The sequence below is a fragment of the Homo sapiens genome, chromosome 16 (genome assembly GCF_000001405.40).
Source record: "Homo sapiens chromosome 16, GRCh38.p14 Primary Assembly".
Lineage (NCBI taxonomy): Eukaryota > Metazoa > Chordata > Mammalia > Primates > Hominidae > Homo > Homo sapiens.
Genome location: NC_000016.10, coordinates 10,001 through 36,939, shown reverse-complemented (window position 1 = coordinate 36,939; position 26,939 = coordinate 10,001). Strand labels below are relative to the sequence as shown.

General features: G+C 55.4%; 1 long non-coding RNA gene, 1 other non-coding gene and 3 pseudogenes across 3 annotated transcripts, besides 5 other annotated features; 3 read left to right on the top strand and 2 right to left on the bottom strand.

Annotated features, from left to right (window-relative positions):
- On the top strand, nucleotides 449–8,012 carry IL9RP3 (IL9R pseudogene 3; annotated as a pseudogene).
- Nucleotides 1,391–1,470: an enhancer, noted in NCBI's record as "active region_10197". NCBI's record gives its function as "activates an Ori minimal core promoter by ATAC-STARR-seq in GM12878 lymphoblastoid cells {active_cell/tissue: GM12878}" and the evidence as "EXISTENCE:reporter gene assay evidence [ECO:0000049][PMID:35858748]".
- Nucleotides 2,176–2,947: an enhancer, noted in NCBI's record as "H3K4me1 hESC enhancer chr16:83993-84764 (GRCh37/hg19 assembly coordinates)". NCBI's record gives its function as "activates a minimal SCP1, AML or CMV promoter by ChIP-STARR-seq in naive H9 embryonic stem cells {active_cell/tissue: H9 hESC(naive)}" and the evidence as "EXISTENCE:reporter gene assay evidence [ECO:0000049][PMID:30033119]".
- Nucleotides 11,826–14,024, bottom strand: WASIR2 (WASH and IL9R antisense RNA 2). Its single transcript, NR_130735.1, has 2 exons — nucleotides 13,855–14,024; nucleotides 11,826–12,694 (listed from the first exon to the last, which is right to left on the bottom strand). It is a non-coding gene; the product is annotated as a WASH and IL9R antisense RNA 2 (long non-coding RNA).
- Nucleotides 18,849–22,859, top strand: WASH4P (WASP family homolog 4, pseudogene; annotated as a pseudogene).
- MIR6859-4 (microRNA 6859-4) lies at nucleotides 19,821–19,888 on the top strand. The gene has a single exon (NR_128720.1). It is a non-coding gene; the product is annotated as a microRNA 6859-4 (primary transcript).
- Nucleotides 22,170–22,803: an enhancer, noted in NCBI's record as "H3K4me1 hESC enhancer chr16:64137-64770 (GRCh37/hg19 assembly coordinates)". NCBI's record gives its function as "activates a minimal SCP1, AML or CMV promoter by ChIP-STARR-seq in primed H9 embryonic stem cells {active_cell/tissue: H9 hESC(primed)}" and the evidence as "EXISTENCE:reporter gene assay evidence [ECO:0000049][PMID:30033119]".
- Nucleotides 22,804–23,437: an enhancer, noted in NCBI's record as "H3K4me1 hESC enhancer chr16:63503-64136 (GRCh37/hg19 assembly coordinates)". NCBI's record gives its function as "activates a minimal SCP1, AML or CMV promoter by ChIP-STARR-seq in primed H9 embryonic stem cells {active_cell/tissue: H9 hESC(primed)}" and the evidence as "EXISTENCE:reporter gene assay evidence [ECO:0000049][PMID:30033119]".
- Nucleotides 22,850–25,385, bottom strand: DDX11L10 (DEAD/H-box helicase 11 like 10 (pseudogene); annotated as a pseudogene). Its single transcript, NR_045117.1, has 3 exons — nucleotides 25,032–25,385; nucleotides 24,538–24,646; nucleotides 22,850–24,038 (listed from the first exon to the last, which is right to left on the bottom strand). The product of NR_045117.1 is annotated as a DEAD/H-box helicase 11 like 10 (pseudogene) (transcript).
- Nucleotides 23,438–24,072: an enhancer, noted in NCBI's record as "H3K4me1 hESC enhancer chr16:62868-63502 (GRCh37/hg19 assembly coordinates)". NCBI's record gives its function as "activates a minimal SCP1, AML or CMV promoter by ChIP-STARR-seq in naive H9 embryonic stem cells {active_cell/tissue: H9 hESC(naive)}" and the evidence as "EXISTENCE:reporter gene assay evidence [ECO:0000049][PMID:30033119]".
- Nucleotides 25,386–26,939: the final 1,554 nt, after the last annotated feature.

The window sequence follows — 26,939 nt, the reverse complement described above, 5'->3', positions numbered from 1 at the left end:
GGGACAGTGCTTCTTCCTTACAGCGCTGTTGTGAGAATTTTCATTGAAAATGCACCTGTGGTGGTTGTAAGGAGTGACTGGTTCCCCCAATCCTGACCCCTCCTGCAGAATGGGGCCTGGGCCCAGGGACAGGGCATGGGCTGGCAGAGGGTGCCCGTCCTAGAGAGGAGCCTTCTTGGTGGACGTGGAGACCTGGCTAAGTCAGAGTCCGGATCAAAGTTTGAGGGTGCATCTGACACCCTGCAGCCACGAGTCTGCAGCTGGGTCAATCGGCCTTTCTGAGCTTCAGTTCCTTATCAGTAAACCCTGGGCAGTGGTGCCCAGCGTCTTTCACAGGACACTGTGTGAGTGCAGATGGAGACCCGCTGAGCACTCCGCTGGGGAGCAATTCATGGGGAGCACCCCTCCAGAGAGGGATGGCTCGCACAGGCCCTCAGCCCAGCCCCTTGCAGGCTGGACCTTGGAGAGTGAGGCCCTGAGGCAAGACATGGGCACCTGGCTCCTGGCCTGCACCTGCGTCTGCACCTGTGTCTGCTCGGGAGTCTCTGTCTCGGGGGATGGACGAGGTGAGGGCTGGGCACTAGTGTCTGTATGAGGTGTGTGGAGAACTAGGGCATGTTTGGGGGACTGGTTTGTCCGATGTTGAGACCCTAGGGAAAGGTTTGGCCCAAACTGTGCTGGGGCATGTCCTCTAGGGTTCAGCCTGGACCTCAGTCTCTATTCTTGCTTCCTTTACCTCCCTATCTTCAGTCCCTGGACAGACCTTAGTCTCCCTTCCTTCACCCTCTTGACGCCTCTCTGGGTCTGACTTGCCTGTGTACCACGGGTCAGAGCCCATCACTTCCCAGGCCTCTCAGTGCTTTCTTGGACAGATTCTGGGATCATTCACTGGTGACTGCCCTGCTAGGGTGTCAGCTGTCAGATCCCCCCGCAACCCCCCAACTCAGCTCTGCCCTCGAGCACTCACTGTGGGCTCCCGACCGTCACTGTCTCCAGGGCCAAGGGCTGGAACCTCCACCTGCCTCACCAACAACATTCTCAGGATCGATTGCCACTGGTCTGCCCCAGAGCTGGGACAGGGCTCCAGCCCCGGGCTCCTCTTCACCAGGTGACCTTGGAGGGCCATGCCCACCTGGACAGGGATGAGGGTGAGGTCCCCAGGATGGCAGCAGATATGCCAGGATAGTGTAGCAGCCCCGTGGTGCTGACACATGCCCTTTCCAGCAACCAGGCTCCTGGTGGCACACGTAAGTGCACCTTGCGAGGCAGTGAGTGCACCGTCGTGCTGCCGCCCGAGGCAGTGCTCCTGCCGTCCGACAGTTGCATCATCACTTTCCAAATGCGTGTCTGGGAGGGAGCAGGTCAGCCTGGTGGACCCGGAGTACCTGCCCTGGAGACACGGTGAGCAGCGGCTATAGGCCTGGGGCAGGGCCCTTTGGCAAGAACATCCTGGCTGCCTGGGGGCTGGGAGCAGGGCCCTGCAGCCTGTGACCCCTGAGGCCCAGTGAGTGTTCTCAGTCCCAGCCAAGTGAGATCCAGGGCTGGGGGCAGGCTTGGCCCCTGGGAGGGGAGGGCCGACGTGGTGACGGCAGGGGCAGGGTTTTGTAGAAAATAAAGATGCAGGGCTGCTAGTTGGGGCAGGGGCTGGCACTTGAGTCATGTGAAATGCACTTCGGTCATACCAGGAAGGACTGCCAGCAGCAGACTGTGAAGGAAAGGGGAAGCAAGATTTAGAAACCACCTAGTCTAGCTGCAGAGGCCAGAGGAAGTCATTGCTGTCCTGTCCCTCCCGAAGGTTTTCTGGACCAGTCTCCCAGTGAGGTGCCTGGTCTGAGAGGGCCTTGACCATGCCCCTTGGGAATCTTTCAGATCCCCGGTCTTGGATGTGCTGACTGACACACCCAGACCTATGGGGCTTCAGCCTTACGTAGACTCACTCTGTTCCAGTGAAGCTGGACCCACTCTGACTTGCAGGGCAACATCAGCTCTAGCCACTGCATCCTGACCTGGAGCATCGGTCCTGCCTTGGAGTCGAGGACCACACTTCTCAGCTATGACCTATGGCCTTCGAGAGGCAGGAAGAGGCCTGGGAGGTAACGCTTTGGCTGGCTTCCCCTGGGGGCCTCCCTCCTGGGAGCAGCAGTCCAGGGCAGGCTCCCCACTCTAAATAAGGAGAGGTCAACTTGGGGTGAAGAGGAGGGGAGGAGCTAGAGCCAGACGTGTGTGTGCACATGCTGACATGCACATGTGTGTGCCTCGTGTGTGTATGTGAGTAGGGTGAGTGCTCCTGTGTTTATGTGTGTGCACATGTAAGTGTGCCCGTGTTTGTGTTTGTACATGAGTGTGTGCCTCGTGGTTGTATACGTGAGTGCACTTGGGCATGCCTACAGGTATGAGTGTGTGTGTGAGTGTGGTGAGTTGCTTCTGTGCACACACTTGTGTTTATGAGTGTGATGCAAGTGTGATGAGTGTGAAAGTGCCTGTAGACACGTTTGCCTGTGTGTGCCTATGTGTATTTGTGGGCAAACGCAGCTGTGTCTGCGTGTGACTGTGAGTGTGCCTTCTCCGTGTGTGTGTGCACATGAACCTGCTGAGTGTGCTTGTGTGAACACAGATGTGTTCCTGTGTGTTATGTGAGCGTGTGCGTGTGTGTATTCTCGAGGGGGACCCAGCCCCACCTTCAGCACCTGCTAACTGTCGCCACCCCCACAGTGGGCCCAGCACAGGGATCACATCGTTGGGGTGACCTGGCTCATACTTGGAGCCTTTGAGCTGGACCCTGGCTTTATCCATGAGGCCGGGCTGCGTGTCCAGATGGCCATGCTGGAGGATGACGGGGCACAGGAGGAGCGTTACACAGGCCAGTGGAGCGAGTGTAGCCAGCCCGTGTGCTTCCAGGCTCCCCAGAGACAAGGTGGTCGCTGCTACGGCTGCTGCACTTCCAGAGTCTGGGCTGGGCATCCTCTCCCCTGATCACCTCACCCCTGCACCCTTTCAGCCTCCTGGAAGGCCCTCCCTGAGGCAGCCATGCCCCACTTTGACCCCCTTCCTCGGAAGCTCTGAGGTCTGCAGGGAGGAAACAAACACCTGCCAACTCTGGGGCTTCCTGGGAACCCATAGTCAGTGGCTCCTCTTAGCAGTGAGGGTGGCAGGGCTGCACACCAGGGCTGGTGCTCCTGCCTGGAGGCTGGACATGACCTCAGTGTCCTTAGTGAGGGCTGGGCTGACCCTTGCGCACTGCAGTGCTGAGACGGCCCAGGGACCTTATGACCCACCATGTGGCAGATGGGAAGAGTGAGGCCCAGGAGTGGGGCTCACACAAGGTCCTTCAGCAGGTGACACAAACCTCCAAGGCCCATCACAAGGTCCTTCAGCAGGTGACACAAACCTCCAAGGCCCATCACAAGGTCCTTCAGCAGATGACACAAACCTCCAAGGCCCATCACAAGGTCCTTCAGCAGATGACACAAACCTCCAAGGCTCATCACAAACCTTCCACTTTGGCCCAGGGCACTAAAGGGCGCACCTTTGCCAGGTGGGTTTGGGGGGAGCCTCCTGGCACTGAGGCTGCTCACAGCCCTGGGCCCTTCCTGCCCACGGGCCCTCTGATCCCACCCTGGGGGTGGCCAGGCAACACCCTTGTTGCTGTGTCCATCTTTCTCCTGCTGACTGGCCCGACCTACCTCCTGTTCAAGCTGTCGCCCAGGTAGGTGGCTGATGTGTGCGTGTGTGTACATGTGTGAGCGGGCAAGAGTGTGCATGTTAGTGTATGTGTGCAGATGTGTGACTGTGTGCATGTGTGAGTGTGTGGTGGGTGGGCCGTCAAGGGCCGCCCTTGTCTGGTTCCTCCCCTCCCCTCTCCACTGCCTGGACCTGGACGGGGTGGGCTTTTCGAGTCTCCACCCTGGTCCAGAAGAGGGTTCTCAACTTGCCAGGGGAGAGCAGGGAAGGGGGGTCTGAGGCAGAGGCTGAAGATAAGGGCAGCTTGGTCCCGACCAGACCCAGAGTCACCGAGATCAAGAGCCGGAGGTCCTAGTCTCCTGCCTCTGGAGGAGCTTGGTTTGTTCATTTGTTCACACGTTATATGAAAGGTCAGTTGGGGCATCTGGTGTACACAGGACCCTCTTCTCACCCTGGCCGATGCCTTAGAGAACAAGATGGACAAGGACCCTCCTTAAATAAACCGTCACGCCTCATGCACCACATGTCAGGTTACAAGAGGGAGTGCAGGGGCCATGTCAGGCCGAGGATGTGAGGAAGAGGGTGTGGGGAGAGGGGTGTTGGGTGGGGCTAAGTGGGAGGGTGCTTCGCTTCTCCTTGGAGCAAAGGAAAGTGTAAAACTGTGTGACACAACCTAGTTTATGTTTTGAGGAATAGATTGCTGGGACAAGGGGACATGGGGGACCTGCTGGAGGCCAATGGGGGCCAGTGAGGTGCCCACAGGGAGACGATTTGGCATGAGCCAGTGAAAGAAGTGGAGATAGAGAAAAGTGGAGAGAATTGCAGGGTCTCATGAGGGGAAATAGAAGGGACATGTGGGTGGATGAGATATGAGTGGTGAACCCTGAGGTGGGGAAATGGGGCACAGCCTTGCGGGGAGGTTGGCGAGGTCTATTTGCACCTGTTGGGTTGGAGCCCCAGGTGACATCCTTGTGGGAGGGTCAGTGGATCCTTGGCAGCAAGTCTGGTGCTCAGGGAGACACTGGGTGGGGTGGGAGCCACAGACCTTCTGCTGATGGCAAAGACAGGGTTCCTGGAGGTGCTGGCTCCCTCTGTGATCTGAGGACCCAGCTAGTAACTCCCCGTTCTGAACCCGCCATCGCAGCTCACGCTGTAAAGGACGCGCGCCTCAGTATAAATCAGTTCTATGCGGCCGTTAGGCAAGGAGGCCCAGTTGGGTCCTGCCCTGAGAGTGGGTTGGAATGTGATGAGATGGGAGAGAGGCAGTGGCAGGGACGAGGTGGGCCTCCTGCTGATGGAAGGAAGCTCAGCCTCTGCAGTGACCTCAGGCCACCTGGGTCGCCATAGGCCTCTGACTGGCCTCTCTTGGCCTCAGGGTGAAGAGAATCTTCTACCAGAACGTGCCCTCTCCAGCGATGTTCTTCCAGCCCCTCTACAGTGTACACAATGGGAACTTCCAGGTGTGTGCAGAGACCACAGCAGGACATGGGGGGCAGGGGTTGCCCAGAGCTCTGGCCTGCCCAAGATGTTGGCTTTCATGAGGGTTGGCGGCCAGTATGGGAGGCTTGTCAGTGCTTGGAGCCTTTTTTGTATATTCAGTGAATTTCAATTTATACGCGGATCTCAAATGGGGAAAAATTAGCTTTATTTTCCATTGCTGATTTCTTTTTGTTCTCAGGTCTCTAGTTCCATTGTTGATTGAAAAAATGTAAATTTCTCATGACTTATCTCTGTCCCCTCTGGTTTGCAGCTTTCTGCACCCACCATGTGCCTCACCTCCTCCTTCTGCGAAGGTGTCTGTCCTGTGGCCATGGGGAAGGGTCTGTGGTGTGTGTGCTGCCCTTGGGGCTCTCACTGCCTCTGGGCTCCTGCTCTGCCTGGTCCCCTGGTCTCCCCGGATCACATGATGGCACCACAGCTGAGGAGTGGGCTCTGCACTTCCCCCCCTTCCACTCATGTTGGGCTCCTACAGCCCAGGCACCAGTGAGCAACTTGGGGGTTGCATCAGCCCCTCCCCTCCCTGCTGGGCTGTTGGTTCATGCCCCCTGGGTGGGAGGAGGGGGAGAGGGAGAGCTCCAGTGAGTGGTCTCTGGTTTTTCCCCTCAGACTCCTCACTTTGGGCAAAGGACAAGAGGCAGTGAGGGCCCCTCCCTGGGGTCTGGGCCAAGCTGACCACTCTTCTCCAGAATCTTCCCTCCCTGTCCCCTTCACACTGTGGCTCCAGCTTACTATGCAGAAAAATCCTTTTCTCTCTCAATGAGGAGCCTAGTTTTCAAGATTTTTGTCCAAAAATATAATTTGAACCATGAACCGGGCATCTGGCTCTTGGCAGAGTCTCCCTCTTTCCCCAAGGTGGTAGATGTGACTGTCAGGAGTCTGGGCAGCTGACGACAAGGCTGAGCAGGTCAGATTGTGACTGTTCCCTGGACTGTCATCCTGTTGCGGGCACCAGCTGTTCCCTAGAGAACTAGGACACCTGCCACGGGTTATTTAGACCCGCGGGTGAGGATCTGGTGCCATAGGTTGGTCTCCAGGGAGCACTGCAGTGATGGAGGGTGTTGTGTGTGTGATGCATGGGATGGAGGCTCCTGGTCCCACCAAGGGAACAGCTTCCTTTTGGAGGCGGGGGCCTCCTGTGGCCCCACAGAAGGATCCAGGTCTGCTGGCCATAGCCGAGTGCTTTGAAAGTCACCAGTCCTGACAGCGATTCGTGTGTGTGTCTGTGTGTGTGTGTGTGTGTGTTTATGTGTCTGTGTGTGTTCGTGTGTGTGTCTGTGTGTGTGTGTGTGTATGTCTGTGTGTGTGTGTATATGTGTGTGTGTCTGTGTGTGTTTATGTCTGTGTGTGTTTGTGTGTGTGTCTCGTGTGTGTGTGTCTGTGTGTATCTGTGTGTGTTTGTGTGTGTGTGTGTCTCTGTGTGTGTGTGTGTTTGTGTATGTTTGTGTGTGTGTGTGTGTGTGTTGGGAATGCCCAGTCTCTGCAGCTGCTGAAAGGCCCTGAGGCACATGCTGTCAGGAGCTGGCTCTGTCCTGGGCAGATATCACCATCTGTACCTTGGTTCAGGCTGCCGTGGGCACCAGGCCCTGTGCTGGGGGAGTGCTGAGGAGCCTGAAGGGACTCAGGGTCCCGTGATGAGGCTGGGCTGGCACATGGAGGAAAGACAGAATGTCCAAGACACAGGCGCTGCTTGGCCTCTGGGTGTGGACCTCAGGAGGGCTTCCTGGAGGAGGAGGGATGCTGGGCTTGCCAGAAAGGAGGCAGCTGCTCCCAGGATGAGTTCTAAACATGCTGCCTGAGCCTTTCCCTCCTCCCGTGCTCTGTTCCAGACTTGGATGGGGGCCCACAGGGCCGGTGTGCTGTTGAGCCAGGACTGTGCTGGCACCCCACAGGGAGCCTTGGAGCCCTGCGTCCAGGAGGCCACTGCACTGCTCACTTGTGGCCCAGCGCATCCTTGGAAATCTGTGGCCCTGGAGGAGGAACAGGAGGGCCCTGGGACCAGGCTCCCGGGGAACCTGAGCTCAGAGGATGTGCTGCCAGCAGGGTGTACGGAGTGGAGGGTACAGACGCTTGCCTATCTGCCACAGGAGGACTGGGCCCCCACGTCCCTGACTAGGCCGGCTCCCCCAGACTCAGAGGGCAGCAGGAGCAGGAGCAGCAGCAGCAGCAGCAGCAACAACAACAACTACTGTGCCTTGGGCTGCTATGGGGGATGGCACCTCTCAGCCCTCCCAGGAAACACACAGAGCTCTGGGCCCATCCCAGCCCTGGCCTGTGGCCTTTCTTGTGACCATCAGGGCCTGGAGACCCAGCAAGGAGTTGCCTGGGTGCTGGCTGGTCACTGCCAGAGGCCTGGGCTGCATGAGGACCTCCAGGGCATGTTGCTCCCTTCTGTCCTCAGCAAGGCTCGGTCCTGGACATTCTAGGTCCCTGACTCGCCAGATGCATCATGTCCATTTTGGGAAAATGGACTGAAGTTTCTGGAGCCCTTGTCTGAGACTGAACCTCCTGAGAAGGGGCCCCTAGCAGCGGTCAGAGGTCCTGTCTGGATGGAGGCTGGAGGCTCCCCCCTCAACCCCTCTGCTCAGTGCCTGTGGGGAGCAGCCTCTACCCTCAGCATCCTGGCCACAAGTTCTTCCTTCCATTGTCCCTTTTCTTTATCCCTGACCTCTCTGAGAAGTGGGGTGTGGTCTCTCAGCTGTTCTGCCCTCATACCCTTAAAGGGCCAGCCTGGGCCCAGTGGACACAGGTAAGGCACCATGACCACCTGGTGTGACCTCTCTGTGCCTTACTGAGGCACCTTTCTAGAGATTAAAAGGGGCTTGATGGCTGTTCCAAAGTGTTGATGGCTGGGAGAAGGGGCCAGAGGAGGAGTGAGGGGTGGGGTTTGTCCAGCCCTGGGCTTTCCGGGCTCTAGAGATAGCATGGTGTAGGCTCAATGACAGTTCTGGGGACAGCAAGTTGGAGGTTCAGGGGCAGCTTCAGGACAGCAGGATGGAGGCTCAGGGACAATTCCTGGGAGGCCAGTGCCCTCGTTCCTCCTTGTCCTCATCCTCCCACTTGCTCCAGGAAACTGAGAGCTGAGCCTGGAGCTTCCAGACAGTCAGTGCTGGGGGTGACCATCCAGCAGTGATGGTGGCCTGTGAAGGGTCCTGCTTCTGTCCTCAGCCTCTCATGGGGTGGGCTTGTGGAGGAGCTGTGGTCTGGAGAGAGTGGCAGTTGGAGCAGAACGTGCCTGCGTTTGTTTCCTAGGGCTGTCGTAACAAAGTGCCACAAAATGGTTAGCTTAGAACCACAGAGATTTGTTGTCTCACAATTCTGAAGTCCAGAAGTTGGAAATAAAGATGTTGGCAGTGTTCCCAACCACATGTTCTTGGGCTCCCATGAAACAGAAGTTGATATGAGGCCAAGGAAGCTTCCCAGACAAGACTTTATTAAGTCTTATGCCCCGAAAGTTTGGGCAGAAGAGAGACGGTGCAGGAGGAAGAATTCTTGGCTGACTCCCCAAGGGGAATGCATTGTGGTGTCTTAAGGAGGGTGACATACATAATTTATGAGCTACATGAGTGTCATTGCACGTATGGGGTGGAGTGAAGGGTGCTCAGACGCATGCTAACACATACGTTGCATGATCAGAAAATGGCAGATAAGCCCCTCCCTGGGTGAGGACTTTAGTATTATCATAAGACCAGGGTCATTCTCCTGGCCTTGTGCACAAGCAGGTGATGGAGTCAACTCCCGTCAGTAAGACTTATGGCGGGATGCTGCTTATCTTAGTTTATTTCAGACAGTTGGCAAGGTCTGGCCAGCGAGTATGGCACCTGGAGGGTGGTGCTGCAAGGTCTAGTGGTCAGCGGGCACGTATGGAACAATACGTTAGTGGGGGTGGGCCGAGTCCCATTTATACTCTCTCAGCAGGGCCATGCTCCCTCTGAAGGCACTAGGGAAGGATTAGTTTCAGGCCTCTCTTCAGCTTCTGTTAGTTTCTTGGCTTGTGACACCAAAGCTGTAATCTTTCTTTTGTTTTGTTTTTGTGACGGAGTTTTGCTCTTGTTGCCCAGGCTGGAGTGCAATGGCACAATCTCGGCTCACTGCAACCTCCTCCTCCCAGGTTCAAGCAATTCTTCTGCCTCAGCCTTTGGAGTAGCTGTGATTACAGGCGCCTGCTACCACGCCTGGCTAGTTTTTGTATTTTTAGTAGAGACGGTGTTTCGCTATGTTGGCCAGGCTGGTCTCAAACTCCTGATATCAAGTGATCCGTCTGTCTCTGCCTCCCAAAGTGTTGGGATTACAGGCATGAGCCACCGTGCCTGGCCAAAGTTCCAGTCTTTACAGGGATTTTTCCTTGTGTGCATTTCTGTGTCCAAATTTCCCCTTTTTAAAATCACAATAATAGTGAATTAAGGCTGGCCCTAACGATTTAATCTTAACTTGATCATCTGCAAAGACACTATTTCCATATAAGGTCACATTCACAGCTACTGGGGTTAGGACTTCAACCTAGAGGGCCTGACTTCTGGCCCAACACATCATGGCCCATCCCAGCATGCCCCATCCCCTTCCTGGGTGCCCCAGGCAGATCACAGGAGGGCCTGACTGCTGGGCTTTGGGCTGACATTGGGATCATCTGCCTAGTTAGGGCTGTGACCAGACTGAGATAGGAGGTGGGACCTGACTCCTGAGGCAGGGCTTGAACTCTGGACCAGATTACAGACTAGCTGAAACAGGCAAAAGCACCCCTCCATAAGACACACCCACTGGTGCCAAGTGAGTTTGCCGTTCTCATGGTAACAGCTGGAAATTACTGCCCCTTTCCATGGCAATGACCTGAAAGTTACCACCCCTTTTCTAGAAATTTCTAAATAACCTCCTCCTTAATTTGTATATAGTTACAAGTGGGTATAAATATGTGTGCAGAACTGCCTCTGAGCTGCTACTCTGGGCTCACTGCCTATGGGGCATCCCTGCTCCATAAGGAGCAGTACCTCTGCTGCCACTGTGCACAGCTGCTTAAATAAAAGTTGCTCTCTAATACCACCGACTCGCCCTTGAATTCTTTCCTGGGTGAAGCCAAAAGCCCTCCTGTGCTAAACCCCAATTTCTGGGCTCACCTTTCCTGCATCAAGAGTGTTTTGGGGCTGGGAGCGCTGAAGTTTTGAAGGCAGGATGAAATGGAGACTGTTAGCTCCCTGGGTCCTGAGCTACAGGGAGCAACTCTCCTGGGTGCTCTCATGCTTCCTGCAACCTGAGCAGAAAGAAGTACCTGTAGCCTGATGCCCCCAAAGGCAAAAGCCCCTTCTGGCTCAGATAGGCAGCCCTCCCACCCTGCATGCCTGCAGAGCTTCTGGGGTTTTGTGGGGAGCCTCAGCAGAGCTGGATCCTGGTCTGTGGGGGCGAGGCAGGCCCCAGAATGTATCTTTAGCATCCAGAGAGTGGGAGGGGTGTGGACGGAAGCGAGGTACAGGCATCCTCAGCTCTAACCAAGTATAAAAATACTAGTGTGAATCCACTTCCTGGAGCTGGGCTCTGGGGAGCCCCGGGCTAGTGTATTTATAACAGGGGCTGTGTGGCTCATGAGGCTCCATGTGTGACCTGGGCTACCTCATGATCACATAAACGAACCCACAATTGGGATGCCTCTCCTGTGTGGCCTGGACACGTCTTCATTCAACTCATAAACTTTCCCTGAGTGGGCCCTGGAGAGCTGGTTCTGGGCTGGAACCTGAGAGTGAAGCCACTGGAGGCTGTGTAATTTGTAGGTGAGTCACTCAGTCACCTAAGCCTGGCCCTCCCCTCTGCACAGGGTGCTAGCCATACCTAGCAGACTGCTGTGAGTTCACCTGAGCAAGACACCTGCACACAGTGGTGCTCAGAAAAAGCTAATAATTCCTTATTGGAATGAGACAGGCCTGGCATGGTGGCTCATGCCTGTAATCCCAGCACTTTGAGAGGCTGAGGCAAGCAGACTGCTTGAGCCCAGAAGTTTGAGACCAGTCTGGGCAACATGGCAAAACCCTATCATCTCTATGAAAAATACAAAAATAATTAGCTGGGCATGGTTGTTCAGGCCTGTAATCCCAGGTACTCGGGAGGCTGAAGTAGGAGAATCACTTGAATCCGGGAGGCAGAGGTTGCAGTGAGCCGAGATCACGCCACTGCACTCCAGCCTGGGCAACAAAGTGAGACTCCATGTCAAAAAAAGAAAAGAGGCCAGGAGCAGTGGCGCATGTCTGTAATCCCAGCACTTTGGGAGGCCGAGGTGGGTGGACCACAAGGTCAGGAGTTCAATACCAGCCTGGCCAAGATGGTGAAACCCCATCTCTACTAAAAATATATAAAAAAAAAAAATTAGCCAGGCATGGTGGTAAGTGACTATAATCCCAGCTACTTAGGAGGCTGAGGCAGAGAATTGCTCAAACCCAGGAGGTGGAGGTTGCGGTGAGCCGAGATTGCGCCACTGCACTCCAGCCTGGGAGACAGAGCGAGACTCCGTTTCAAAAAAAAAAAAAAAAAAAGGAAAAAAGAAAGAAAAGACCCCAGGACCATACATATTTACAGCTCAGTATTAACTAACCTTAATGAAATATGATTTTATTTAAAATGGTCAAGGTAAAGGAAAAAAAAGAGTAGTGACTTTCTTCAAGTAATTTTATGGTATAATATCAAAGCTTGATATAGTTAATACATTTCATCTAATATAGGAATGAGAATGCTTATAAAGCAGACGTCATTTTATGTACCATTACAAATACACTGCCAATTAAACAGACTTTCTCAACAAAAGACTGTTGTTGACGAGGTCACTTCCATTAGACACACAAAATGGTTTGTTTTTGTTTTCATTTGTTTTTGTTTTTTGAGACAAGGTCTCGCTCTGTCGCCCAGGCTAAATGCAGTGGCCTGAGAATGATAATGTGCCTGCTTTTCCATTTCCTGTGTTGTTTCCACTGCGTTAACAAAAGAGCCTTAAAACACAAAGCACTGGCCGGGCCCAGTGGGTCACGCCTGTAATTCCAGCACTTTGGGAGGCCGAGGTGGGTGGATCACCTGAGATCAGGAGTTCGAGACCAGCCTGATCAACATGGAGAAACACCGTCTCTACTAAAACTACAAAATTAGCCGGGCGTGATGGCGCATGACTGTAATCCCAGCTACTCGGGAGGCTGAGGCAGGAGAATCGCTTGAACCCGGGAGGCAGAGGTTGCAGTGAGTCGAGATCGCGACATCGCACTCCAGCCTGGGGAGCAAGAGCGAAACTCCTTCTCAAAAGAAAACAAAACAAAACAAACACCGAGCACTCATCTAGGGGCGCCTGTTTCATTGGCCTTAGACTGTGGTGCCTGCTGGTCCCCGACCTCACGAGGGCGTCTCTGTGTTCCTCCTCCTTTCCCCGTACCAGGGTCAGCCCCAGGTGTCCCGGAGATGCAGCCCCAGGTGTCCCAGAGATGTCCTCATCGCGGACGTGGCCCCAGGTGTCCTCAGGTGTCTCGAAGCCATGGCCCCTCCTGGGTGGGTCCTGAGGAGAGAAAACTCCGTCCTCACAGTCCTCACACCCAGGGATGCCGCTGTACGGATCAGACGCAGTTCTACTGTGGCGCTCCGGGTTTGGCCGGGCCCCCTAATGGCAGCCGTGGAGAATCCCTGAAAATTAGCGTTTGGATTTTTCCATGCCGTGATTTTGGAAATTTCAACTGACATGGAGCCCACCATCCCGTGCCCCGATCGAAACCCATGGAGACAGCAAGCAAAGAAGATGGCCAGTTCACGCCTGTAATCCCAGCACTTTAGGAGGCCGAGGCAGGAGGATCACTTGAGCTCAGTGAGTTCGAGACCAACCTGGCCAACATGGTGAAACCCCCGTCTCTACTAAAAATACAAAAAAAAAAAAAAAAAAAAAAATTAGCTGGGCGCCGTGGCGCACAACTGTATGTAGTCCCAGCTACTTGGGAGGCTGAGGGAGGAGAATCGCTTGAGCCCAGGAAGCGGAGGTTGCAGTGAGCAGAGATTGCACACCTGCACTCCATCCTAGTCGACAGAGTGAGGCTTCCTCTCAAAAAGAAAGAGGGCAGGGCATGGTGGCTCACACCTGTAATCCCAGCACTTTGGGAGGCCGAGGCGGGCAGATCACGAGGTCAGGAGATTGAGATCATCCTGCTCAACGTGGTGAAACCCCGTCTCTACAAAACATATAAAAATTAGCTGGACATGGTGGCCTGCTCCTGTAGTGCCAGCTTTGGGAGGCTGAGGTAGGAGAATCGCTTGAACCATGGAGGCAGAGGTTGCAGTCAGCGGAGATTGCGCCACTGCACTCCAGCCTGGGTGACAGAGCGAGACGCCGTCTCCAAAAAAAAAAAAAAAAAAAAAAAAACAAAAAGCAAAAAACAAAATCAAAAACAAACATCCAGCACTGATCCCAGGGGCCTGTTTCCTCGGCCTCAGGCTGATCTCCCGACAGCGTCTCCGCGTTCTTCCTCCTCTCCCGGTACCAGGGTCTCTTCCCAGAAAGAAACTCACATCCGTAACCTGCATCTTGGCCTGCACTGGGGGTGACCCGCCCAAGCCTCCATGAAGGGGAATCTCCTACAAAGTGAGGTCCTGCTACAAAGTGCACGACGGGAAATGCAGCCGCGCTCGCTCCGCCACACTCACAGCGGGGGCGGGAAGCCTTTTCCTCACCTTGGCCTCGGCCCCAAGTGGTGTCCCGGAGATGCAGCAGCGTCTCCCAGTCCTCACCGCGGACGCCGCCCCAGGTGTCCCCAGGTGTCCCCAGGTGTCTCGAAGCCGCGGTCTCTCCCATGCGGGTCCTGGGGAGAGGAAGCTCAGTCCTCATAGTGGCCGCAAAGTGACTGCCGCTGTGTGGATGAGACGCGGTGCGTGCACGGCGCCCCGAGTTGCCAGGGGCCATGCGCCCCCTTGCGGCAGCCATGGGGAGTCTCTGAAAATCAGCGTCTAGATTTTTCCAGGCTGTGGATTTTGGAAATTACGACTGAAATGGAGCCCACCATCCCATGCCTTGATCGGAACTCATGGAGCAAGGAAGCAAAGAAGATGGCCAGTTCATGCCTGTAATCCCAGCATTTTGGGAGGCTGAAGCGGGCGGATTACTTCAGGTCCAGAGTTTGAGACCAGCCTGGCTAACATGGTGAAACCGCGTCTATACTAAAAATACAAAAATTAGCTGGGCATGGCGGCACGTGCCTGTAATCCCAGCTACTCAGGAGGCTGAGGCAGGAGGATTGCTCGAACCCAGGAGGCGCAGGTTGCAGTGAGCCAAGATCATGTCACTGCACTCCAACCTGGGTGACAGAGCCAAACTCCATCTCAAAAAAAAGATGGCCAGTAGGCAAAACTTAATTGATTTTCTTTCTTTTCTCTTTAAGAGACAGGGTCTCGCTCTGTCACCCATGCTGAAGTGCAGTGGTGTAATCACAGCTCCCGAGTTCAGCCTCCAGCTCCCGGGTTCAAGAAATTCTCCAGCCTCAGCCTCCCAACACACTGGGATTACAGGTGTGAACAACTGTGTCCGGCACCACCTGATTTTCCTTTATTTATTATTTTATTTTTTATGGGCGGGGCAGGTCTAACTATGTTGCCCAGGCTGGTCTAGAACTCCCAAGCTCAAATGATCCTCCCAACTAGGCCTCCCAAAGTGCTAGGATTACGGGCGTGAGCCACCACACACTGCCTGATTTTCTTTCTATCATCAGCAATAATGTATAGGAATAATTTGAACTTGAAATTTGAAAAAAATACCATTTACAATAGCATTCCCAAAATTTAATTTATTAGGTATAAATCTAACAAAATACATACAAATATGCATTCAGAAAACTTTAGATCACGGTTGAGAAGAATAAAAAATATTAAATAAATGCAGATACTCCTTGTTTAGGAGCAGTACACTCATTATTGTTAGCTTTACCACAAAGCTAAAGCAATGAAGAGAGTGATATTGGTGAAGGAATGGACAAACAGCTCAACAGAACACAATACAGAACCCAAAAAACCCGAGTAAATACATTCAATTGATTTTGTCAAAGGGGCAAAAGCAATTCACTGGGGAAAGAAAAGTCTGTTCCACAAATGGCAATAGACAATCGGAAACCATACGGAAAACACTGAATGTGGACAAAAACTTCATAGCTCACCCCCAAAAAATCACTCAAGATAGTCTGTAGCCTTAAATGATCAAATATAAAATTGTAAAAGTTTTATAGAAGAAAATCCACGTGACTTTGGGTTGGTGATGAGTTCTTAGATACAATACCAAAAGCCAGTCCATAAAAGAAAAAAAATGATAATTTGGACATCATTAAAATTTAAAATGACTACTCTGTGAAATATCCTGCTAAGAGAATCAAAAAATAAGGCACACACTGAGAGAAAATATTTATAAAACAAGCCTGAAAAAAAGACTTGCATGCAAAATATACAAAGACATTCTAATACTCAACAAGAAGAAAAACAACCCAATTAAAAGATAAAGACATGGAATAGGAACAGCTCCAGTCTACAGCTCCCAGCCTGAGTGACGCAGAAGATGGGTGATTTCTGCATTTCCAACTGTGGTACTGGGTTCATCTCACTGGGGCTTGTCAGACAGTGGGTGCAGCCCACCAAGCTTGAGCCGAAGCAGGGCGAGACATCGCCTCACCCGGGAAGCACAAGGGGTCAGGGAATTCCCTTTCCTAGCCAAGGGAAGCTGTGACAGATGGCACCTGGAAAATAGGGTCACTCCCACCCTAATACTGCGCTTTTCCAACGGTCTTAGCAAACCGCACACCAGGAGATTATATCCCACGCCTGGCTCGGAGGGTCCCACACCCACGGAGCCTCGCTCATTGCTAGCACAGCAGTCTGAGATTGAACTGCAAGGTGGCAGCAAGGCTGGTGGAGGGGTGCCCGCCATTGCTGAGGCTTGAGTAGGTAAACAAAGTGGCTGGGAAGCTTGAACTGGGTGGAACCCACCACAGCTCAAGGAGGCCTGCCTGCCTCTGTAGACTCCACTTCTGGGGGCAGGGCATAGTCGAACAAAAGGCAACAGAAATCTCTGCAGACTTAAATGTCCCTGTCTGACAGCTTTGAAGAGAGTAGTGGTTCTCCAAGCACGGAGTTTGAGATCTGAGAACAGACAAACTGCCTCCTCAAGTGGGTCCCTGACCCCCGGGTAGCCTATCTGGGAGGTACCCCCCAGTAGGGGCAGACTGACACCTCACATTGCCGGGTACCCCTCTGAGACCAAGCTTCCAGAGGAACGATCGGGCAGCAACATTTGGTGTTCAGCAATATTCACTCTTCTGCAGCCTCCACTGCTGATACCCAGGCAAACAGGGTCTGGAGTGGACCTCCAGCAAACTCCAACAGACCTGCAGCTGAGGGTCCTGACTGTTAGAAGGAAAACTAACAAACAGAAAGGACATCCACACAAAAACCCCATCTGTACGTCACCATCATCAGAGACCAAAGGTAGATAAAACCACAAAGATAGGGAAAAAACAGAGCAGAAAAACTGAAAATTCTAAAAATCAGAGCGCCTCTCTTCCTCCAAAGGAACAAAGCTCCTCACCAACAATGGAACAAAGGTGGACGGAGAATGACTTTGACGAGTTGAGAAAAGAAGGCTTCAGATGATCAAACTTCTCCGAGCTAAAGGACGAAGTTCGAACCCAGTGCAAAGAAGTTAAAGACCTTGAAAAAAAGATTAGATGAATGGCTAACTAGAATAACCAATGCAGAGAAGTCCTGATGGAGGTGAAAACCATGGCACGAGAACTATGTGACGAATGCACAAGCTTTAGTAGCCGATGCGATCAACTGGAAGAAAGGGTATCAGTGATTGAAGATCAAATGAATGAAATCGGGGTCAGGGTCAAGGGTCAGGGTCAGGGTCAGGGTCAAGGGTCAGGGTCAGGGTCAGGGTCAGGGTCAGGGTTAGGGTTAGAGTCAGGGTCAGGGTCAGGGTCAGAGTCAGGGTCAGGGTGAGGGTCAGGGTCAGGGTCAGGGTGAGGGTCAGGGTAGGGTGAGGGTCAGGGTGAGGGTCGGGGTTAGGGTTCAGGGTCGGTGTTAGGGTTCAGTGGTCCGGGTTAGGGTTCAGGGTCCGGATTAGGGTTCAGGGTCCGGGTCAGGGTTAGGGTCAGGGTCAGGGTTAGGGTCAGGGTCAGGGTTAGGGTCAGGGTTTTAGGGTCAGGGTTTTAGGGTCAGGGTCAGGGTGAGGGTCAGGGTCAGGGTGAGGACCCTTTACAGCAGATGAAGGCCTCTCCCCAGCCAGAAAAGATGGAGCACACGCTGGGTGGTGGCCCCGCTTCCTCACTGGAAGGAGATGGTGCTCTTCTTTTTTCTTTCTGAATTGTGGCCACCTTCATACCAGTCTGTCATGGAACACTTAAGCCGCTTGAGTGTCTGCTGGTACTCCCAGCCCTGCCATGCCTGAGCCCCCTGCACACAAGGAGCCAGGAGTAATCAGGGCAGACCCATTAGGGCACGGGGACTTCTGGATTGTGAAATTGGCTCTCTGGGGGCCAAGGCCTTCTAACGTTGGTGGAAGTGGCTTTGGCTTATTGGGTCGGATTCTAGGCCATTCGTTCCAACCTTTAGAGACATCCCAGCTTTCCCTAGCCCAGAGTCTGCAGCCCCTCCACCATCCCACATCCTCCCCCTCCCTTTCCTCATGAACCCCAGTCGCGCCTCTGCCTTCTCAAACCCCTCCACCATCCCACACCCTCCTCCTGCCCTTCCTCATGAACCCCAGTCGCGCCTCTGCCTTCTCATCCCTGCGCACCACACAGGCTCGCTCGTGCCCGGTGAATGCTGAGGCTGCTCTGCACGTGGAGTGTGGCCCTGTGGGCAAGGGCTGGGCTCTTGGAGGTAGGGGAGCTACAGGGGCGACTGGGAGGAGGATGTTGTGTTACACACGCATCAGAGTTAACTTTGCAGTGAGAGCGGCCTTGCTGCGGCCAAAGAACATGGAAAAGCATGAGTGGGGTGATGTGCCTTAAAGCATCAGACACTTGGGCCTCGGGCATCAGGAGCCAGCCACAGGGATGTCTGGGGAAATGGCGTTCCATGAGATGCAAGCACACAAGAATGCACTTGGCACATCTGGGGAACAGCAGGCAGCTGATATCACTGGGCCCACCCCGCACCAGGGAGGATGGAAGCAGGTGAGGAGCTAGACCACACTGAGGCGGTGGTCGGGACTCAGAGTTTGCTCAGTGAGCCGTTCACTAGGTGCAGGGGCAGTTCCCCGTCTGAATTTAGGTGACGACACTCAGGTCCAGCCTTGCCAGTCTCAGCCTCCGGTCTCCGTTCCCCCTCTGCAGAGGTCACTTTGTCTGCTGCACGTGATCATGAGGGGTTGTGAAGTGCTTGCCCCATCAGTAGCCATGTGTGCATGTGTAAATACCATCCTCTGTGTGCCCTGGAGGCTGTCCTTCAGATAGCATGTACAGGTGGCAGCATAGGGCCTGTCCCTAGTGAGAGTGCAGGGAACTCAGCACCGTCAACTCCTCGACCCTGCAGGTCAGATTATCCTTGTAGAGGCCCCCTGGATGGCACCAAGATCGGCCCTGGCAAGCAGGTGACCCTGACTTCAGAGCCCTTGCCTGAGGGCCTGGCCTGGCAGCTCTGCTGTTAGAAGCAGGAGGTGTGCAGGGGGTGGGGAGCAGCCCAGCCTCTGTGATCTTCTCCATGGCAGGATCTCCCAGCAGGTAGAGCAGAGCCGGAGCCAGGTGCAGGCCATTGGAGAGAAGGTCTCCTTGGCCCAGGCCAAGATTGAGAAGATCAAGGGCAGCAAGAAGGCCATCAAGGTAGTCCCCATGCCCCTGTGTCCTGAGGCTACTGGGCAGTCCCTCTATTTCCCCGTGCCTCTGAGGCTGCCCAGTCTCTGCCCTGCTGCCCACCTGTACCTTGGGCTTTCTTCTCGCCCAGGCTTCCAACTCCACCCTCTCCTGCCAAGCAATCCTAGCCCTCTGAGCCTCTTGGGGCCCCCTCAGACTTGTCCCTGTGTCCACAGGTGTTCTCCAGTGCCAAGTACCCTGCTCCAGAGCGCCTGCAGGAATATGGCTCCATCTTCACCGACGCCCAGGACCCTGGCCTGCAGAGACGCCCCCGCCACAGGATCCAGAGCAAGCAGCGCCCCCTGGACGAGCGGGCCCTGCAAGTCTGCTGGCTGCGCACATAACTTAGCCTGTCACACACCAGGAGGACTGGATACTGGGGAGGAGCCGGGGCCACCAAGGGTTCTGTCCCCCAGAGGAGGCTGACTGGGATGGGGTGGCAGCTGATTAGGCCCAGCACCAAATATTCACCATCCCTTGGCCATCCTGGCCCTCCCAGGAGAAGCTGAAGGACTTTCCTGTGTGCGTGAGCACCAAGCCAGAGCCCGAGGACGATGCAGAAGAGGGACTTGGGGGTCTTCCCAGCAACATCAGCTCTGTCAGCTCCTTGCTGCTCTTCAACACCACCGAGAACCTGTATGGCCAGAAGGCAGGGCCGAGGGGTGTGGGCGGTAGGCCCGGCCTGGCTTAGTGGGGACCCAGGGCATCAGACACAGGTACAGCACATAGCCCAGGAGCCAGGGGGTGACTGGGGTGGCTCGGCTCGGGAGGCCTGGGACCCCACAGTGCACACTGTGCCCCTGATGATGTGGGAGAGGAACATGGGCTCAGGACAGCGGGTGTCAGCTTGCCTGACCCCCATGTCGCCTCTGTAGGTACAAGAAGTATGTCTTCCTGGACCCCCTGGCTGGTGCTGTAACAAAGACCCATGTGATGCTGGGGGCAGAGACAGAGGAGAAGCTGTTTGATGCCCCCTTGTCCATCAGCAAGAGAGAGCAGCTGGAACAGCAGGTGGGAGGGGCGGGACAGAGGTGGAGATAGGTGCAGTGGCCCAGGGCCTTGCCAGAGCTCCTCTCCAGTCAAGGCTGTTGGGCCCCTTATTCCACCCATGGGAGGTGCACACAAGGTCTTGTTGGCTGCCCCTGCAGGTCCCTGTCACCTCTCACATGTCCCTGCCTAATCTTGCAGGTCCCAGAGAACTACTTCTATGTGCCAGACCTGGGCCAGGTGCCTGAGATTGATGTTCCATCCTACCTGCCTGACCTGCCCGGCATTGCCAACGACCTCATGTACATTGCCGACCTGGGCCCCGGCATTGCCCCCTCTGCCCCTGGCACCATTCCAGAACTGCCCACCTTCCACACTGAGGTAGCCGAGCCTCTCAAGGTAGGTGAGCTGGGTTCTGGGATGGGAGCTGGGCCGGGGACCTCCCTGCTCACACACCTTCTTCCCTAGACACCCCACACTTTGTGTTTCAGACCTACAAGATGGGGTACTAACACCACCCCCACCGCCCCCACCACCACCCCCAGCTCCTGAGGTGCTGGCCAGTGCACCCCCACTCCCACCCTCAACCGCGGCCCCTGTAGGCCAAGGCGCCAGGCAGGACGACAGCAGCAGCAGCGCATCTCCTTCAGGTGGGAGCAGCTCTTTGAGGCCACCTGATTTCTGGCGTGCTCAGTGCACTCGGGTGGATTTTCTGTGGGTTTGTTAAGTGGTCAGAAATTCTCAATTTTTTGAATAGTTTCCATTTCAAATATCTTGTTCTACTTGGTTCATAAAATAGTGGCTTTCAAACTGTAGAGCTCTGGACTTCTCACTTCTAGGGCAGAGGGAGCCTGAACAAGTGAGGCTCTGGGTTCCTCATTCCTAATTAAACCAATGGAAAGAAGGGGTCTAATAACAAACTACAGCAACACATTTTTCATTTCAGCTTCACTGCTGTATCTCCCAGTGTAACCCTAGCATCCAGAAGTGGCACAAAACCCCTCTGCTGGCTCATGTGTGCAACTGAGACTGTCAGAGCATGGCTAGCTCAGGGGTCCAGCTCTGCAGGGTGAGGGCTAGAGAGGAAGCAGGGAGTATCTGCACACAGGATGCCCGCGCTCAGGTGGTTGCCGAAGTCAGTGCCCGGGCCCCACACAGTCTCCAAAGGTCCGGCCTCCCCAGCGCGGGGCTCCTCGTTTGAGGGGAGGTGACTTCCCTCCCAGCAGGCTCTTGGACACAGTAAGCTTCCCCAGCCCTGCCTGAGCAGCCTTTCCTCCTTGCCCTGTTCCCCACCTCCCGGCTCCAGTCCAGGGAGCTCCCAGAGAAGTGGTCGACCCCTCCGGTGGCTGGGCCACTCTGCTAGAGTCCATCCGCCAAGCTGGGGGCATCGGCAAGGCCAAGCTGCGCAGCATGAAGGAGCGAAAGCTGGAGAAGCAGCAGCAGAAGGAGCAGGAGCAAGGTGAGCGGGCCCTGGAGCCTGCGGTCGGAGGGCCTTTGGGCAAGATCGCCTCCTCCCCTCCAGCCCTGAGTCCACCGGGTGCTTTCTGCCCACCCCCTGCTCCTGCCAGCTGGCCCCTGCTTCCCCTAGGGCACATGCTGGAAGCCCTGGGCCGCCACCAGAGGTCCTCAGCCCTCCTGCCTGGGCTATGGCTCCTTCCTGGTTTGGGAGCCATAGTGGAGCTTTCCTCTCTAAGCTCACCCAGCTCAAACTGTGACAGGAGAATCTTCTTCGACTGCCAAGAGCGGTCCAAGGCAATGGTCAGCCACTGCAGCCTCCTGAGATATTTTTAGAGACTGGACCTGAGGCCTCTGGAGGCTACTGATGATGCCTGCTGTGAACGCAGACACTGGTGTGATGCGATGCCTGCGCCTGCAGCGGCAGTGCCCTGGGCACTATGGTTTTGAGCTTGTACCCAGCGCTGCTTTTGCCTTGCTCTGTGACCCCAGGCAAGCTGCCTCACCTCTCTGGGCCAGTTTCCCCATCGTACAGTGGTGCTGCACACCCTGGCCCTGTCCCCGAGGTGGCTGGGAGGTGGCTCCTCAAACAGCCACTTTCTCATCAGTGCCCGGTGCTGGGTCAGGCATCGACTGAGGCTCTGAGCTAACTAGGAAACACAGTGGCCTTGGAGGGCTGGGGAGTGTCATGGGGGTGGGGACAGGGAGCCACCGGTCGCATGTGACTGAACTCTTCACCCCAGTCTGTGGCTTTCCCGTTGCAGTGAGAGCCACGAGCCAAGGTGGGCACTTGATGTCGGATCTCTTCAACAAGCTGGTCATGAGGCGCAAGGGTAGGAGGCAGGGCCGCTGCCCACCCTGGGCCGGCACATTGTAATTCTGTCCTGCCTTTTTCTTCCTGTATTTAAGTCTCCGGGGGCTGGGGGAACCAGGGTTTCCCACCAACCACCCTCACTCAGCCTTTTCCCTCCAGGCATCTCTGGGAAAGGACCTGGGGCTGGTGACGGGCCCGGAGGAGCCTTTGCCCGCGTGTCAGACTCCATCCCTCCTCTGCCGCCACCGCAGCAGCCACAGGCAGAGGACGAGGACGACTGGGAATCGTAGGGGGCTCCATGACACCTTCCCCCCCAGACCCAGACTTGGCCGTTGCTCTGACATGGACACAGCCAGGACAAGCTGCTCAGACCTGCTTCCCTGGGAGGGGGTGACGGAACCAGCACTGTGTGGAGACCAGCTTCAAGGAGCGGAAGGCTGGCTTGAGGCCACACAGCTGGGGCGGGGACTTCTGTCTGCCTGTGCTCCATGGGGGGACGGCTCCACCCAGCCTGCGCCACTGTGTTCTTCTCTTAAGAGGCTTCCAGAGAAAACGGCACACCAATCAATAAAGAACTGAGCAGAAACCAACAGTGTGCTTTTAATAAAGGACCTCTAGCTGTGCAGGATGCAAACGTCTCGGGGTCAGTGACTGCCTCCTGCCCCTGTTGGTCCCTAGGCAGTGGGGGCAGAAGCTCCCAGCTGACCTGTTTCTCTGGGATGAGAGGGAGGAGAGAAGGGCAGTCAGCAGGGGCAGCTGTTGCAGATGGGAGGAATAGTCTCCCACAAAAAAGGTTTCAGTGACAGACACGGGGTCTCTAAAAATAGTCATGCTGAGAGCCTAATGGCCCTTGGCACAATTGCTGGTGTTGGGGTAGAAGATGTCTTGGAGTTTGCTCACGTGGTTGAGAGGGAGGGAGGTGCCATCGACTTGGAGGAACTGGCACCAAGCCAGGGAGATAGAAATCCAGGCAAGGCTGTGGGGCAGGTTAGGGAGCAAGGCTGCAGGAGTGACTCAGGAAGAAGGTGGGGGAGGTGACAAGCCCCCAGGCAGGGGCCCTGTGGCCATGGGGATCTTTTTAAATGGAGACTAGGGGGTGAATAGTCCAGGGCAGCTAACTTTAGTTATTATAGAAAGGGCAGTAGCAGATGGGTCTGCTCCGTCTCGCTTCTAAGAAGGTGGGCAGGACAAATGGCAGCCTCCTGCAGAGGCCCAGTGAGAAGCCTGGCCCTCGGCCACGCAGGATGGAAGACAGATTGGATTCCACAGAGGGGAGCTGCCCTGGGAAGATCTCACGGATGGCCAGGACCCACCATTTCTTCGGGATTCCCCTGTTTTCTCCAACGGGCACTAATGCCTGTGCCTGGGTCCTGGCAACACTCTGGATTCCACACTCTCCTGGGTTTCACCTTTGTAGCAGGATCCCTGCAGACCAGGCCCATGACAAACACCGTCTCCAGCGGGCAGAGCAAAGGAAGGGCGCAGCGCCAGGCAGTGGTGCAGCTGCCTGTCAGGAAGAGGCCTACTTCTGGTGAAACTGGGCAGACAAAAGGCAGTGAGAAATGTGATCTCGGGGTGGTGGAGGCTCTAGGGAAAGGAAAAGGCAGGAGTGAACTTCCACACAGCAGCAATGGCAGAACCAAAGGTTGCTTTGACCTCCACGAGGGCTCAGATTCAGGCCAACAGCCTGTCCAGGACAGGGTGCCGGGTGTATCACTGGTCCAGGAGCACTATGCTGGCAGAATCCCTTTGGTGCCTGATGGCCCTGCCTTCATGGGAACAGAGGCTAAGGCTTTGAGTTACAGCTGCCTCCCCAACAGTGCATCCCCTTCTCCTTCCTCAGCCTCAGGTAGGAGACAGGGCAGGCAACTCCCCTTTCCTCTTCTCCCCTTCTCCAGCCCCTGTCTGTCCACCCAGCTGGAGGCAGCCAGGCTTGCCTATGGACTGGTTGACAGCCTTCATGCACAGGTTCTCCACCAGAGCCTTTCTTGGGGGCCCCTGGCCTGGGCTCTGAGCTGGGAGTGAAGGGGATGACCCATGCGGACTGTTTGCTGCTTATAGCTTTCCCTGGGAAAGACTCTGCCAGGCCTTGGAGCCAGACCAGGAGGCTTTATAGGCCACCGCAAGCAGCAGGGCTCCAGATGACATCACAGGGAAGAGCAAGAGGGTGTGGAGGGGCATCGAAGCCTCTCCAGGAGACAGGAGACGCCGGCCCAGTAGAGCCCTAGGGGTGACGCCACTCCCACTCACTGTCGACTCTCCTCTCACCTCTGCAACACTGGGGACACTCACAAGAGTGTGATCCAAGTCGGCCGTCGTCTTCTGCAGCTCTGGAGACCTGATGCTGGGGAAGGGCATGCCTGGCATCACCACACACCTGGGGGGAGACAGGAGCCTGGGGCCGGTGGGCCCACACATCACCAGCTGCTCCGTTCTACCATTTCTTCAGCCCTCTTGGCTGTGCCTGCGGCTCTGCCCCTCCCCTCTCTGCACCTACCACCCAGAGAGGGCTTGTTGAGCTCAGAGATCCCACCTAGGCCAATCCACTGGGTTCTGCGGCAGCGATGGCCTGCCTGATCTTCCACCTGCTCTCCCAGGGCCAAAGCCAGACCTGCTGAGCCCCTCCCTCCAGCCGGCTGGTCTGAGCAGTCACAGCTCGGCTTTGGGCTCCGATGGCAGCAGACGGCAGGTAGGGGTCCAGCTGCTGGAGCGAGGGCCGGCCACGTATCACAGCCAAGGAGATGAGCACAAGCACTACTTACTGGCCTAGGTTGTCAGAGAAGTTGATGCTCTCACTCATCTTTCCTCCAATCTTTCCCGTATGCCTGGTTGTGGTATTAAGTTACATGCAGACAACAGGGGCCAGAAGATGAACAATGGCCCATCCCACTCTAGGCATGGCTCCTCTCCACAGGAAAACTCCACTCCAGTGCTCAGCTTGCACCCTGGCACAGGCCAGCAGTTGCTGGAAGTCAGACACCTGCAGATCAAGACCACAGCATCAAGACCCTGTGACCTCTCAAAGGCCCGGTGGAAAGGACACGGGAAGTCTGGGCTAAGAGACAGCAAATACACATGAAGAGAAAGAAGAGGTCAAAGAAAAGGCTGACGGCAAGTTAACAAAAAGAAAAATGGTGAATGATACCCGGTGGTGGCAATCTCGTTTAAACTACATGCAGGAACAGCAAAGGAAATCCGGCAAATTTGCGCAGTCATTCTCAACACCGGCCATGCAGCAAAATCATCAGTGGAAATTTAAAAAAATACACATGGCCAGGCCCCAGCCCAAATGACTAATAAGAATCTCCAGGGCTTCACCTGCTAGACTGGCAAAAATCCAAAAGTAAACACTTTGTGGAGAAACAGGTATTCCTAGACATTGCTGGTGGGATACAGAACAGTATAATTCTGATGGTAATCAGTTAACAAATTAAACATATTTATTTTATACTTTTAAACCCAGGAATCCCATATTTAGGAGTCTACTGAGACCAAACAGCATATGCTCCGGGTGTTTCCCTATAATCCGCCACTACTGTTGGAGCAAGAGGGCCCGGCAGTGTCCCCAGCTGCCAGCAGGCGGGCGTGCTGCCACTACACTTTGAGCAAGAGGAGCCTGCAATGTCCCTAGCTGCCAGCAGGCGGCGTGCCACCACTATACAGTAAGCAAGAGGGCCCTGCAGTGCCCCGGCGCCAGCAGGGGGCGCTGGCCACCACTCTAAGCAAGAGAGCCCTGCAGTTGCCCTAGTCGCCAGCAGGGGGCGCCCTGGCACAGCACCGTGAGCAAGCGGGTCCTGTAGTGCCCGGCTGCAAGCAAGGGGCGGTCGATCCCGGCTTTTCGGATTACTGAGGTTCCACCCGTCTCTGCGCCGCGCCACCGTGACGTGAGTTTCTGCGCGTGCAACGGCGCCCCCCACCCCCCGCCCCCAGGCCGGCGCCGTGCGACTTTGCTCCTGCAACACACGCCCCCCCAACCCCCGCCCGTAGGCGTGCGTCTCTGCGCCTGCGCCACGCCTCCACCCCTGGACGCGCTAGCATGTGTCTCTGCGCCTGCGCCGGCGCGGCGCGCCCCTCTGCGCCTGCGCCGGCGCGGCGCGCGCCTTTGCGACGGCGGAGTTGCGTTCTCCTCAGCACAGACGCGGAGAGCACCGCGAGGGCGGAGCTGCGTTCTCCTTTGCACAGATTTCGGTGGTACTGCGAAGGCAGAGCAGAGTTCTGCTCAGGTCAGACCCGGGCGGGCGGGCTGAGGGTACTGCGAGGGCGGAGCTGCGTTCTGCTCAGCACAGACCTGGGGGTCACCGTAAAGGTGGAGCAGCATTCTGCTAAGCACAGACGTTGGGGGCACTGCCTGGCTTTGGGACAACTCGGGGCGCATTGACAGTGAATAAAATCTTTCCCGGTTGCAGCCGTGAATAATCAAGGTCAGAGACCAGTTAGAACGGTTCAGTGTGGAAAATGGGAAACTAAAAGCCCCTCTGAATCCTGGGCACCGAGATTCTCCCAAGGCAAGGCGAGGGGCTGCATTGCAGGGTCCAGTTGCAGCGTTGAAACACAAATGCAGCATTCCTAATGCACCCATGACAGCTAAAATATAACACCCACATTGCTCATGTGGTTAGGGTGAGGGTGAGGGTCGGTTAGGGTTAGGGTTAGGGTTAGGGTTAGGGTTA